At 39.6% G+C, this 15874-nt stretch overlaps 1 protein-coding gene across 3 annotated transcripts in view; it reads right to left on the reverse strand.

Moving 5' to 3' along the window:
* The window catches only part of FEZ2 (fasciculation and elongation protein zeta 2), a 45911-nt gene that overhangs the window by 11950 nt on the left and 18087 nt on the right, over nt 1-15874 (reverse strand). For all 3 annotated transcript variants that reach the window (XR_244972.4, NM_005102.3, NM_001042548.2), the window contains exon 5: nt 14390-14658. Coding sequence is in view for 2 of the 3 variants with exons in the window: in NM_005102.3 (NP_005093.2) it covers nt 14390-14658 (269 nt within the window). In the remaining variant the exon portion in view is untranslated. The remainder of the gene's footprint in view (nt 1-14389; nt 14659-15874) is intronic.

The following is a 15874-nucleotide window of genomic DNA, read 5'->3' on the forward strand; positions in this document are numbered from 1 at the left end:
TTGGACATCTGTACCTATTGTATGTTTAATGGCCTATTGACAAGCCTATGTTCCTGTCTATATTTAATATCAATATTTCTAAAACTCATATCCAAAACTGAATTCAATGTCCTCTTCCCCACCAAAACACAAACAAAAAAATTTAAAAACCGGTTCCTCCTTCAGCATTTTATTCTCCTCGTTCATTCATTTCCTCTTTCTTTCAAAAAACATCCTGAGCCAGATACCATTCCAGGTATTAGAGATTCAGAGTGAACACATCAGCCAAGGCCCCTCCCACCCTCCTGACCTTACATTCCAGCATAAGGGGGCACAAAAAGCACAACACGTAAATGAAGCGAATGCTGCAGATAACTAACACATGCCCTATCCCTAGCTCCAGCAAGGCGATTAAAAACTGGATGCCTACTTTCTACTCGGACGCCAGAGAAAAGCTGCCTGAGGAGATGACATCTGAGCTGAAATATGACGTATACACCCATCCTAGATGAGCCACAAAGGACAATGGACAAGGGAGATCTTCTCAGAGAACAAAACCAAAAGCAGCCAACCGGGCCAACTCGGGAGTTCACGCCACAGCTAGTGTGCAGGAGGTCTTGCAATTCTCATTCAATGGGATGGAACACAGCATCTATGGAATATGTCCATTCTCTCCTCCTTTTTATAAGATGTTATTGCAGCAACCCTGTCTTCTCTCCCCCGTTGTGTGCCAATGTGTTGCAATGGCTGGCTTAACTTTCAGACCATAGGTTGACGGAAAAGAGAGACATCCCCTCATTTGCTGGACTTGAAGCTAGAAGCAGGTACTGCTGACAAGATTTACATACCTCCCTTTGGGGAAGGGGCACATGTGCTTTATCTATGTTTGCCCTCGTCAACAATCAATGACCTGACCCTAACTCCTCCCTTCTTTGGTGTCCGAAACAATCAACCTCACCAATATCTCTGAAATTCAACTATTTATATTTCCATCCCTACTTTCACTTCCCTGGCTCAATTCTTACATGAAATCGCTGCAACAGCCTCCTAATTAACTTATCTCCAGTTGCCTCCTTCCAATTAGTTCTCCTTGAAACCACTGAAGTTCTCTTCCAAAACAGACAAACCCAAACATGTAACTACCTGACCTAAAATCCATTTTTGGTTCTCTAAACCCTTTAAACAAAAACCAGGTGCCTCAGAATGTCGTACGACGCCATCCATTTTCCAGCTTCCACTGTGCAATTTCCATAGCCTCTTCTTGAGTTTCTTGCCCCCTCACCTTCTAGCTTTCACCATAATGAGCAGCCTGCATTTCCCCAGATGTCCCTAACTGTCCCCTCCAAGTGGTGGCACACACCACCCCCTCTGCTGTCTGTGCCTGTTCCCTCCTCCTTCTACCTGACCTCCGGGTGCAACTCAGCCTTCCCAGACCCCTAAACCTAGCTAGGGGCAATAGTAATATATGTCCACCTTGACCACAGAACAGAGCCAGGCTCAGAAAACACTAAAAACGTGGTAGTTGTTTTGAATATAGCAATTATCACACCCTGTACCTAGGTTTCTCCACGTTGACACTACTGACATTTCCAGTCAGATCATTCTTGTCACGGGGGTCAGTGTAGTGGGGTGGGATCTCCACTAGCACCTCCGGTCTCTGTTCACCAGGATGCCAGCAGTACCACCCCCATCCTTCCCCACCCTGCCCAGTTGTGACAACAACAAATGTTTTCAGACATTGACTCATGTCCCATGGGGGGCAAAATTGGCCTGGTTGAGAATCACCGCACTAAAGCACATTGGATGGTTCATCATTCAATCTGCAACCCATGGGCAGCACATTCCTGGAAAACTGAAATTGGTTCTACATCCTTAACACCCATGCCAGGGACACAACTGTGGATCAATTAATGTTTGCCTAATAGTAGTATAAGAAAAGTTCAGGAGATGGAGACCATCCTGGCTAACACAGTGAAACACCATCTCTACTAAAAATACAAAAAATTCGCCAGGCACGGTGGCGGGCACCTGTAGTCCCAGCTACTCGGGAGGCTGAGGCAGGAGAATGGCGTGAATCCGGGAGGCGGAGCTTGCAGTGAGCCGAGATCGCGCCACTGCACTCCACCCTGGACGACAGAGCGAGACTCCGTCTCAAAAAAAAAAAAAAGTAATCAAGATATTTTTAATGGGGAGGTAGAGTGCACAAGATCTAAAGAGAAACAATAAAGAAAGAAAAATGAAAATTCTGGTCAGGTTAATTTTTCATAAATTCAACTCAAGTTCTCAAAATCCTTAAGGACAGAAAAAAAAAAATGTCAGATACTTCTTTCATATGCTCCAAAAAGCAAAAACCAGACCAGTATGTAGGAGGCATCTGACTGATAGTCAGTGACTTAACCTGCAAAACGCTACAGCGATCATTACCAATACCAGTGGGATACTTCCAGATTTCTGTATGAAACCAGGAATCATAGCTCAGGCAAAAGTCTTAGAATCAAGAAATTTTTAAACGGTCAACTTGGACAGAAAAGTGCTGAATTAGAAATCGAAGATCTGGGTTCTTTCCCAGCTTTGCCACTAATTGTGTGACAGGAGGGCAGTCACTTTACTGCCAAGGCCTGTTACCTCACCTGTAAAACAGATGATTAAATCATATTAACTTTAAACGTCTTCTTATTTGTAAATCCTACGAGTCTATGGATTAATTCAATCAAAAAGATCCATTATTAAGCAAATTAAAAACACACACATACGCATAGACACACACACACTCTCTCTCTCTCTCTATAGGACTAAATAAATGAGTGCTCCAGAATGGCAGAACTGCACAGCCAGATGATACATTCAGAGTCCAGTGGCTTCATTTTCTTATGAGGAAATGACTACATTCTGAAGGGAGAGACAGGTCTTAGGCATCTTTCCATCCCCGCAGCTTGCATAGTGCCTGGGCCATAGCAGTCATTTTTAAACGTCTCATAAGCTGAGGCTGTGACACTCCTAACACCAGAACCCAAGAGCCTTAGAGCCTATGATCGTTTCACCATATCATGAGGTGTCTTGACTTCTTGCAGGAGAGAAAGAAAAAAAAAAAGCCCAAAATAAGTGGAGTATGAACAGAATAAAGATGACAGGACAGAACATCAAGTTATTTTTCAGAAGAGTGAACAACGGAGTTCTGGAAAAGTCCACTGAAGAATCTAGTCTAGGAAAGTAAGATGAGATTAATGAAATAATCTTGTTGGCGTGGTTTATAAAACATAAAACAATGGAGTGACTAAGAAATCTCAAACCCCGGCCAGGCACGGAGGCTCACGCCTGTAATCCCAGCACTTTGGGAGGCCGAGGTGGGTGGATCACCTGACGTCAGGAGTTCGAGACCAGCCTGGCCAACCTGGTGAAACCTCATCTCTACTAAAAGTACAAAAATTAGCCAGACGTGGTGGCGGGTGCCTGTAATCCCAGCTACTCGAGAGGCTCAGGCAGGAGAATCACTTGAACCCGGGAGGCGGAGGTTGCAGTGAGCCAAGATCGCACCATTGCACTCCAGCCTGGGCAATAGAGCGAGACTCTGTCTCAAAAAAAAAAAAAAGAAATCTCAAACCCCTAGCTAGGATAATCAAAGAGTAGCAAGTAGGAGATCAGTGAACTAGAAGGATAAAGGAAAAGAGAGACCAGGGCAGTGAGACCAGGAAGAAACAGGAAACGAGCTGTGTAGAGCATACTGTGCATTCTGTTTTATAGCTGCCCTGTAAATTCCAAAAAATAACACACCCTTTTGGAAGGCAAAATGAATTTTAAAAAGATAAAACCTCAGAGGCAGGTTAAATATACTTTTTAGTAAACGTCACCTCATTTAGAAACACTACATTTACAACCTTGAGAGCAGATGCGGTATTATTAGGTGCTTATGGTGCTTAACTGGGCCAGAGGGAAGATTTTCTCTATGCTTAAATTTTATAAGTAGGAGGACAAGGAAAGGGAGAGACAGAAGGGGTAGGGGAGGAGGGAGACAGAGTGGGAGGGGGAAGGGAGGGAAGCATTTCTTTGATAACATTTCTCAAGGTTAAAGTACCAAAGACATACCAAAGCGCCAACAGAACTAAGTCTCAGGGTTATGAATGCTGAATGAAATGAAGGACATTAAAGATTTGTTACTAAATAAATAAGTAAATAATTTTTTAAAAGAAAAGAAAAAACAATTTGTTACAGTTTAATTTAAATAACTGCAATAACGCAGTATATCAGAAAACCCAATCCTCCCTCCATTTAATCTACCATTTCCAAGTTTGAAATAAAGAATCCAAGTGTTCAAATTCAAAGTGAAGAACTGGTGAAAATTCTGAATCTGAAGTTATTTTGTAATTGATTCATCCATTTCCCACTACGTCTTTAGGAAGGAGTTAATAGTGCTATAAAATGCCCCCTCTCAGGATGGAATTTTTGATAGGAGCCCATTTGTGAGCAGGGAAATGATTAAGCATTACAGTATTTACTTTATTGTTGCCCTCACTACTGACAAATGCCAAAGTAATGTGGCAAGGACGGAGGAAGAGGGTATTCAATACACAGCTTCAACACCAGTATTTACGCTGAGAATACTCACCACTGCCTCGTGGTTGTTTCCTTCCCTGGCATAAGTATGTATTGAAAGTCTCAAAATCAGTCCTTATCTGGAAACTTTTCTCAGACAAAACCAGTAGCAACAATGTATAAACAGGATATAGATTTATAAAAATTCACCAAAATCTGAAAGACGAAGAAATGGGCCAAGATCCCCAAGGCCCATTTACAACATCCTTGCAAAGCTCAGAAAACGAAAATTCAAGCCAAGGATCCTTCCATCCACCTCTAAATAACTCCACATCCTCATTCCAATGCATGCTGGTTCTGTGAGCTAAGGTCCCTGTTAAGCTTTTGTTTACTCATTTATGAAATGGAAATAATAACAATAATACCTTCTTTATAGAGTTGTTGTGAAGGTTACATGGAATAATCCATGCAAGTACCTAGCAAAGTGCTCAGCAAATATCAATATTCAAAAAAGTATTGGCTATAATTCCTAAAAATAAAAAGGATAGAATAATATTTTAGACACAACTCCCAAAGAGAAATAACCACACCTTTCTACTTTTCTCCAGAACAGCAAAAACAGCATTTCAAGTTCTTCTAATATAAATAAAATTGCAGCTGAGAAAAAATAAATCCCCGATTATAGTTCCTAGCTGATAGGACTGAAAACAACATAAAGAGACATTACTATCTATGACTAAGCACAGAATCAGCAAAAAAGCTTAAACAGAAAACAAGTTAACACTTAAATAATTCGGTCTTTCTGAACAATAAAAAGAAAAGAGCTAGAGAACACTATGCTACATAAAAGTGAACAAGAATCAGATACAGTGCTGCAGTTTGTTAGTTCTTCTGTGGTATCTTAAATATATCAGCTTCTTCTACACACAGCATATTCACCAGTTCAACCAGCTTCACAGAAAGCAACATCCAAGACAGGGAAAAGCAAGACAACAAAGGGCTCAGGAAATTTACACTATTCCCGCTATCAAACTTGTTTCTCAGCCTCACCTGACACCAACTGGTACAGATTTCTAACTGGCCAGGAAATCATTTTAAAATCTCAATATCAAAGCTCAATGACAGAAAAAAGGTTTGAAAAAGCACTCAAGGAATGCTTTTCATCTATTTCTGACTCTTACTCTAATCTACTCTTACTTCATTAATATTCTTTATACTCAGGAGGTTCAAATGAAAGCAAAATGAAAACATAATTATTGTTCCTGATAAATCACGACACTTTCAATAGCTTGAATATGATTTTCAAACATTATAAAACAGTAGGTTTAATTTTTAATAAATTAAAATAATCAAAATGAGGAAACAAGTGTAAAAAATTTAGAGTAAAAATATTCAAATAGTTAAGATATTATTTAAGATGTAAAAGTAATATCTTGTTTTAATACTTCAAATAATTTTAATGTGAATTATAAAGCAGTTATAAAAGCAAATTCTACCAAAAATTTTTTTAAAAAAACAGATCTAAGTAAATTAGAAAATATACATTATACCAAAGCAGATACACACTTGAAAATCTTCAATATTAAACAACTGTTATATGAGTTTATTTTTATGGCAGAAAAAATATAATACAAAGATCTTCAAAATTAGCATTAAATAATTTAATTTTTATCTTTGAAGATCTTTTTAAAATTTTTTATGTAACTTAATATTAATGTGGAAACTAAACTAATTATTGCCAAATATTTTCAAAACCACTAAAACTAGAATATAATAATTGATCTTGGCAATTTTAGAAATTCCTTCCTGAAACATAAATACTCTAAGTACAGTCATGTGCTGCTTAAAAATGAGGATACATTCTAAGAAATGAGTCAGGCAACTTTGTCGTATAGACCATGACAGAGTGTACTTACACAAACCTACATAATTGTATAGTCTACTCCATACTTAGGCTACATGGTATAGTCTACTGCTCCTAGGCTACAAACCTATATAGCCTGTTACTGTACTGAATAATGTAGACAACAGTAACACAATGGTAAGTATTTGTGTATCTAAATATAGATAAACATAGAAAAAGTACAGTAAAAATACAGCATTATAATCCTGACTCCATCATCTATCTATACGCAGTCCATGACTGACCGAAATATCACTATGTGGCACAAGACTGTATACAAGAAGAACACAATTTCCTGGCACATTACAGCTTTTATGTGAACTTGTTTATATTAACAATGACCTCTCTAACACATAAAGAAGTCAAGAATGGACTCCTGATTTTTACTACATTAACTGATGGATCATGAAAGTTCACTATTACCAGCCTACCACCAAAAACCATTGCAGAAAACAAAGTGTAGATGATAAAAACATATCGAAAACTGATGATGACATATATTTCTCTAGGTAATATTATTTTTCATAAAACAAATTTGTTCCACATCTAAAGTAATTCATAATTCATAGGTTTGAATTATTAAAATAATAGCCATTATATAGTCAAGTTTTTCTCCACCCTACAATGACCTTCTATCATGCTAATAGTAATTCTTAGTAAATGCTTTGCACTAAAGAAAATGCAGCAAGATACTATCAAATATCACCAACAAATTATTGTTAAAATGTGTCAATATTTACATTCAAGAATGCGTATCAGAGCCGGGCACGGTTGCTCACGCCTGTAATCCCAGCACTTTGGGAGGCCGAGGTGGGCGGATCGCTTGAGGCCAGTAGTTCAAGACCATCCTGGCCAACTTGGTGAAACCCCATCTCTACTAAAAAAAATTAGCCGAGTGTGCTGGCGGGCGCCGTCATCCCAGCTACTCAGGAGGCTGAGGCAGGAGAACCGCTTGAACCCAGGAGGTAGAGGCTGCAGTGGGCCCAGATGGCACCACTGCACTCCAGCCTGGGCAATAGAGCAAGACCCTGTCTCAAAAAAAAAGAATGTATGTCAGGTAGAATTTAGTATCTCAAGCACCACTGCTTAGATAAAGGGGAAAAAGGCTGGGCACTGTGGCTCACTCCTGTAATCCCAGCACTTTGGGAGTCCAGGGCAGGTGGATCACCTGAGATCAGGAGTTCAAGACAAGCCTGGCCAACATGGTGAAACCCCACCTCTACTGAAAAAAAAAAAAATACAAAAGTTAGCCGGGCGGGGTGGACCACACTTGTAATCCCAGCTACTCGGGAGGCTGAGGCAGGAGAATCGCTGGAACCGGGGATGCGGAGGTTGCAGTGAGCCGAGATCGCGCCCCTGCACTCCAGCATGAGCGGCTGAGTGAGACTCCGTCTCAGGAAAAAAAAAAAAAAAAAAAAAAAAAAAGATAAAGGGGAAAAAAACTCATGCCTTTTCCACTTCTCCTCTAACCTTCTTTTAAAACCACATTTTATCACTGTGTATAATACAACATTTTTATTCCTTTTGTTTGTCTCCATATTTAGAGAACACTGGTCTACCTGCTCACTCTCTTTACCTAGCCACCGGGATTCAGACACACACAGCACAGAGGTCTGCTGTTAGACAAGAAGCTGCCACACGTAGCTTGGAGATTGGCTGGCCAAGGTGTCACTATCACTCAGGCTGCTGCTGAAGGGGCCCCAAGAAAAGGAACAATTCAACATAATCTCAAGATAAAACAAAGTAACCTTTTAAATACAAACTTTAGAAACATTACAGTACTCTTTTTATCTATGCAAACTCACTTAACTGGAGTTCATAACTTTTTGTTCTACTTTTTAATTTTACTAAGTCTAAATCAGAGATTGGCAAACTTTTTCTGTCAAGAGCCAGGCATTAATTATTTTAGGCTTTGTAAGCCACACAGTCTCTACGGCAACCACTCAACTCTGTCCATATAGCCCCAAAGCTGCTACAGATGATATATAAATGAATGAACATAGCTGTGTTCCAGTAAAACTGTATTCATAAAACAGGTGAAGAGTTGATTTAGCCCTTGGACAGTAGTCTGCCTTGACAATCCCTGGTTTAAATCATCTGAGCAAATGTGCTGTTAAAAAAATTCCAAATTAAAAAGAAGGGGGGAAAAAGCCAGGTCCATGTTGTTTTAAACAGAAGCCCCAAACAAAGGCTATCAATCATATTATAACATGAGCTGAGTCACAGAAACGGAGCAATGTAGCTGTGAAAGAAAATATATACAAGAAAGAGTGTATATCATCTAAGCCCTAGCTCTCCCCCATCCTTCAGCAATTCTCTCCCTAACCCCCGAAAAGCAATAAATTAGGGTAATGTGATTCTTTTTACAGTTTTTTCTTTTCTCTACTACCGTTAGTCACTGATTGCTAATATCCCAAAAGTTGTCCGTATAAACTTTTTCAGGGTTGACTGACGCAGTTATGCATTTTTGATGGTGGAGTGTAACACAGTAGAAATTCTCTCTTCAAAGTTCAATGTCATTATGGCAAACAGAAAAGACTATCGATTCCTATCTTCTCAACAAGACTTAGCATAAACAACCTTACATGTGACATTCAATTCAAAGATTTGTTACTAGATACTCAGAGGGTAACTATTCCATTTTCATACATATAAGTTTACTAAGTTATGATGCTAAGCAGGTAGGCCATAATGCCCAGACAACTGCAGATAACACTAGATGAACAGCAACTACTAAATTACAACATAACCTGGTGTTGTTCAACCTATTCTTGTATTCATGAGAACTGCTACTGAAATTCAATGACCTGTGAATGTCTGATGTAACAGAAGCCTGGCTCCCCCAATAAAAATCCCCAATAGAACAATAATAATTCAAATACTACAAATCTAAATCCTCCGGGATTCAATCTCCTGTACACTGAAGTTTCAATTCAACAAACATGCATTAAGTGATGTGCGAAGAACAAGAAATTAGGTGAGGTGCTGGGAAAGCAGTGTGAATGAGCCTTTAAAGAGCTTGCACTCTGTTAGAAGAGAGGTTTAAGCCAATGATTACAACACAGTGTGGTACTTCAATATCACAAGTATGTGTACCCTCACAAATAAATATGAAAACACCTCATAACAGGCATATAAACATAATAGGCAACTCATAAAAGAATACAAATGGTCAACAGATCAAACCCATTGTTTGCCTGTGCAGTGTATATTCAAAAGCTCTTAATATCTCCTGTTGGCGGGAGGTGTGGGAAAATGGTCACTCTTACGCTCTACTGGGCTACACTTCTACACAATAATTTGAAAAGCTGGTCATTTAAAGCCATTTAAAACTCTATATTCTTTGACTTGGAAATTCTATCAGTTTCAGTGAGTGGATAAACTAGTTTTGCTAACCAAAAGAAAATAATTCAATTTTAGGAAAATGGTAACTTTGGTTTAATAGTATAAATTTCAGACTCCTACAAGATATCCAAAGGGAATTGTCTAGTAGGCAGTTGGACATATATAACAATTAGCATTTACTCATGGTGTTTGCTATGTTTGCTAATCTTATATACATTATTTCATTTAATCTCTCCAAAATTCAAAGCCGTCTGTATGTAGGACGAAGATTCAAACACAGCTCTTAACCCAAAGCTCTTAGTCAATATTCTATTGTCTTAGACAATATTCACTGTCCATGGGTTTGACACCTGGCAGAAAGATCCAATATAGAAATATATATTTGCAAGTTTATCTTTCGTTCACTCATTCATTCAGCAGAAATTTATTAGGTACCTAAGGTTGGATCTACGAATACCGAGAAAGTAAAGTTAAATTTCTTATCATTAGGGACATAAAACAGAGATAGGCATGAAAACAAAAAATTGCAGTATGATACAACAGTGATAATAGAAATACTAAAGAGGAGTAACACTAACCCCTCTAAAAAGAGAGAGTAGTCAACTCTGCATCGGACAGAGTCATCAAGGAAGGTTCTAAGAAAGGAAGACAATGCTTGGCCATGATTTTAAAGGATGAGTGAGAAAAAAAAAAAATCCCCCAAGTGGACAGAAGCAGCAGGTAAGGAATTTGATTCCAGAAGAAGAGCATTGAATATAAAGAAGTGTCACCCAAAACAGCATGGTCAGCACAAAGAAATACATGTAGGTCACCATAGTGATAAACAGACAGTGCCCTTTAACCACTCTCTAACCCCCCATCCTCTGCTCCTCCAGATGCTGCAAAAAAGGACAGAGGAAATATAAAGCCTGCCACTCTCTTGAGTTGCACTTCCCAAAGAGGTCCACTCCTTTAACCTCCTCTTCAAACGGAGAATTGGAAAGGGACTAGGCAGGCTCCCTTGTCAATGAGGAGAAGCAGTGGTGTAGTGACACTCTCCAAAACAGCTTCCCAACAGCATCACCATCTACCACCTCACCCAGCCTTTGGTTTTCTTCATGGCCTTTATTTACTACTAAAATTCCATCATCTATTCATTTTTTCCTTGTTTATTGCCTTTCTCCGTCATTAGACTATAAGCTCCAGGAAGGCATGGGATGGGCCTCATCTATTCTATTCTATTCACCACTGTGGTTTTTCTGTTTTTTGTTTGAGACAAGGTCGGGCTGTAAGTGGAGTGGTGTGACCATGGCCCACTGCAGCCTCAACCTCCTGGGCTCAAGCAATCCTCTCGCCTCAGACTCCCAAGTAGTTGGGACTACAGGTGCATGCCACCACACCTGGCTAATTTTATAATTTTTATTTTGTAAAGACAAGGTCTCACTATATTGCCCAGTCTGGCCTCAAACTCCTGGGCTCAAGGAATCCTCCCACCTCAGCCTCTCAAAGTCCTAGAATTACCATCATGAGTCATCCTGCCCACTGTATCTTGAAGAACACCTGCCACAGGAAAGCACTCCACAAATCCTTGCTGAATGAATGAATATTGTTTCATCTTACCCAACATACAGCATTATGGTTATTTTAAACCTAAAACTCCAATCAAAATCATATTTCACTTTTATAAGATAATACTTTCTGTAACATTTCACATATTTTCATGGTCTAATGAAATTTTCCAATGCTCTAAATAGCATCCCTATGCCCTCTATTTTTTTTTTCACCACAACAAATATTTAAAACAAAATCTGTCTCCAAGTTTAACTCTGCTCTATACCCACTCCAATATTTCATTAGAGTATCTTTGGACCAAAGAGAACAAGGTAACAATTTTAGATTAAGTGGTATGCCAACTACAAATTGATGTACTGCTTCAGTGAAACATACATGAAGAAAAATGGAAGCTATTCTATACTTAACGAAAAACTTCAAGTCCTGCTAATAAAACAAAAATATCTCAGGCAGGAGAAAAAAAAAAGTGACTTATGTTATTGGAAAAACAGGTAACATATGACAATTCTAAGGAGGTCACCATTTTTTAGGAATTAGTATCACTGATAATAGCAAACTCATAGAGACCAGGTCTTGCCAAGACTGCATGTGATATAAAATGCTTGGTAAAATGTTTGGCAAGCTCCTGGAATCTGTTTATCCAACTGCCTATTTCACTTTGGGTTTCTTTTGAGCAACCTACCACTATTTTCAGAATCACCCTTCCAGCCTACTTGTGTCACAGATAGGAAGGTCTTTCCCTGGCATTTTAGGCTTTTTATTTTTTTTTTTTGAGACAGAGCCTCGTTCTGTTGCCCGGGCTGGAGTACAGTGGAGCAATCTTGGCTCGCTGCAACCTCCGCCTCCTGGGTTCAAGCGATTCTCATGCCTCAGCCTCCCGAGTAGCTGGGATTACAGGCATGCGCCACCACGCCCAACTAATTTTTGTATTTTTTAGTAGAAACGGAGTTTCACCATGTTGGCCAGGCTGGTCTTGAACTCCTGACGTCAGGTGATCCGCCCACCTTGGCCTCCCAAAGTGCTGGGATTACAGGCGTGAGCCACCGCGCCCGGCCGCATTTTAGGCTTTAAAAGGATACAGGAAACTAGTACTGCAAGCTTAGCCGTGCCATTACTGAACTGATTAAAATTTTTGACACAAATTGTAAATCAGGCAAAATGCAACTTCAAAAGTTCAAATATTATGAAAAATATTTACTGTTACTATGAATCTATTTCAAGACCAATGAAGGCTGAAGTAAGACCTAACTGTTGCCTTGCCAAATCCATTTCTCAATATAAATGCCATGTAAAATTACACAATAGATTTACTCTAACCCTTTTTACATGGGAGTTACAAAACGAAGCCTTTAAACCCCTCTAGGGATAAATTTACTTTTCTCAGCCAAGTGTTAACAGCAATAAATGGAGGATTTACATGTAATCCCTAAAAGCAAATAGGCAGAAATTACCAACCATGCTATGACTTTTTAACTAAGCATTTTATTTAATCTCACTTGCATAACAGGGCAATTTAAAGGGTGCCAGTTCTAAAAATATGAGATGCAAATGCAAAATAGTGTCCCTAATATTTTAAAGCAAATTTTCTAGGATTGTATATTCAAACAAATGTGGGTTGGTTTTGGGTTTTTTTCAGAGTACTCACTAGGAATAACTAAATAAACACCTATTCAATCAATACTGCCATTTCTTAAAAATAATAGATACCTGAGAACTTTTTTCAAAGTCAGTGCATAAGCAATGTCCTTTTTTTTTTTTTGAGATGGAGTTTCGCTTTTGTTGCCCAGGCTGGAGGGCAATGGCACGATCTTGGCTCACCGCAATCTCCGCCTCCTGGGTTCAAGCAATTCTCCTGCCTCAGCCTCCAGAGTAGCTGGAATTACAGGCATGCAGCACCACACCCGGCTAATTTTATATTTTTAGTAGAGACGGGGTTTCTCCATGTTGAGGCTGGTCTCGAACTCCTGACCTCAGGTGATCAGCCCACCTCGGCCTCCCAAAGTGCTGGGATTACAGGCGCGAGCCACCGTGCCCAGCCACGATGTCCTTTCAAAATAGATACAAATGAACATTACACTGAAAAAAATGGATTTATTCATAGGCTAATTACAGCATAATAAATGAGCTATATGGTAAGACTCTTTTTGTGTTAACTGCTCATTGGTGGCCCACCATCCTAGAACTGTATTTCCAGGATTCCATCAGCATCTGCTTAATGAGATCTATTTCTCTGCTAAGTATTCTTTAGATAAGTAAATCAGACTTTATCAAAAACAGAACTCATATTATTGCAAGCCATAATAGCTAGTTTGTGATTTGTAAGACCATGTTATTGATATCACAAATTAAAAAGAGATGTCCCATTTAGAAAAAGAGATCCCTTTACCCAACCATCATACTCTAAAAATAAAACCAACATTTCTTCACACACAAACAAAATCAAGGTGGGAATACACAAGACTTCAACACAAAAAAATCTTATCAAAGGGTCAGCGTTTCAGATGTTCTAAACTTGTTTTCACCAGTCAGAAATAGTCTAGTCTGCCAAATACTAGGCCACATGGCTGATGTCACTTACCTTCTTGTATTCCAACCTCACTGAAAAATCAGGAGGAACCTGTTTACAAACAATTTGTGCCTTGAGCAGAGTTCTGATACCTCTAAATAAACCCCTTCTAATTTCTTATCACACAACTCGTAAGAGTTCAGCAAAAATAAGAAAAAAACTACTAGCCAAATATACATAACCACTCTTCACATTTTGATGTGGTAAAAATGTTCACTTGCTAAAGCTTCTTTTCTTCAAGACATTCTCCTTTTTTGCCCCCTCTTCCTTCCACTTACATCCTTGCTAAACATTTCAGTATTATTCAGATAACCAGTACACCCTAGTCAAGAAAACGACTTTCTGAAGAAGCTGAGCACAGCGGTATTCTGGAATAAAATCCCACTGGGCTCTGATTAGAAGTGTTAACACTCCTGCCCATGTACAACCTGTCGCACCTGCCACCAGCCCCAAAGGCTGGGACTACCACAGAACCTGTTTCCAGTGTTCGACGCCTCCTGCAAAACATCACTTACTGTGCCGGGCATATGACTTCTCTCATTCTTCCCATTCTGAGAGCTGCCATTTTTTAGTTTCTTTTTCTTTTTTGCTGTTTCTTTGTGCTCTTTCTGTTTGTTTTGCACTTCAATAAGAACAGAAATAAAGCTGTTTTTCACTTCCTTTTCAAACTCCAGTTCATCTCGTAAAGCCAACTGCTGCACCAGCTCCTCAGAGTACTCCTTAATGGCAGTCTCAATTTCTTCCAGGATTTCATTTAACTCAGACACTGAGAGCCTTTTCACTCCTGTGACCAAAAGCAAAATACAGCAGATATTAAGACAAAAACATTTCAAGGAAGCAAAACAGAGTAGTCACTAGGAATGACTAAATAAACACCTATGTAATCAATGCCAAAGAGCAAAAATCATATTCCAAGCAATTAAATTGACTGTGGGTGATCTTCTCAGAATTCTACAACTTCTGGAGATCAGATCTGAGTAGAGGTAAGTGGGCAGGTGAGTCACTTCTCAGCTTGCTGGCAAGAAAGTCTAACAAAAGTTTTTACTTGTGCAAATAAATCATTGCATGAATAATACTTCAGTCAAGACTGTGAAGGCTTGTACACGGAAAAGAACAAACACAAAAGTCGAGGGAAAGTACAGAATCCACCTGCTGACAAAAAACTGCAAGCCGTTCAGCAGGGTTCTGGGATATCTCTGAACAGGAAAGGAGTTGATCTGAAAGAATTAAACTAAATATACACTTAATTACATAAGTCCTGATCTGTGAATTTTGTTGAAATTGGTGATATGGTTTGTATCTGTGTCCCCACCCAAATCTCATACAGAAATGTGATGCTGGAGGTGGGGCTTGGTGGGAGGTCACTGGATCATGAGGGCAATTTCTAACAGTTTAGTACCATCCCCCTGGTGCTGTTCTCATGACAGAGTTCTTATGAGACCTGGTTGTTTAAAAGTGTGTGGCACTCCCCCCAGCCCCCTTCCTCCTGCTCCAGCCATGTGAAGATACCTGCTCCAGCTCTGCCTCCCACCATGAGTAAAAGCTCCCTGAGGCCCCCCCAGAAGCAGATGCTACCAGGCTTCCTGTATAGCCTGTGGAACCATTAGCCAATTAAACCTCTTTTCGTATAAATTACCCAGTTTCAGGCATTTTATAGCAGTGCAAGAATGGACTAAAAAAACTGGGAAGACAAAAGGGAACAATATTCCCTGAAACCCCATTTCAGTCTTTTCTCAGCACTTCTGCCCCTTGTGACAGATAGGACACTGTTAAAGTCCCAACCCACAGGGCCTCAGAATGTGGAGAGGGGGTCTTTAAAGAGGTAAATTAAGGTTAAATGAGGGCATCAGGATAGGCCCTAACCCAACATGACTGGTATTCTTATAAAATAGGGTGATCAGGACACAGTAGGAAGACCACGTGAAGACATAGGGAAAAGGCAGCCATCTGCATGTCAAGGAGAGAGGCCTCTGAAAAAAACCAAACCTGCCAACACCTTC

Source organism: Homo sapiens, chromosome 2, assembly GCF_000001405.40.
Source record: "Homo sapiens chromosome 2, GRCh38.p14 Primary Assembly".
NCBI lineage: Eukaryota > Metazoa > Chordata > Mammalia > Primates > Hominidae > Homo > Homo sapiens.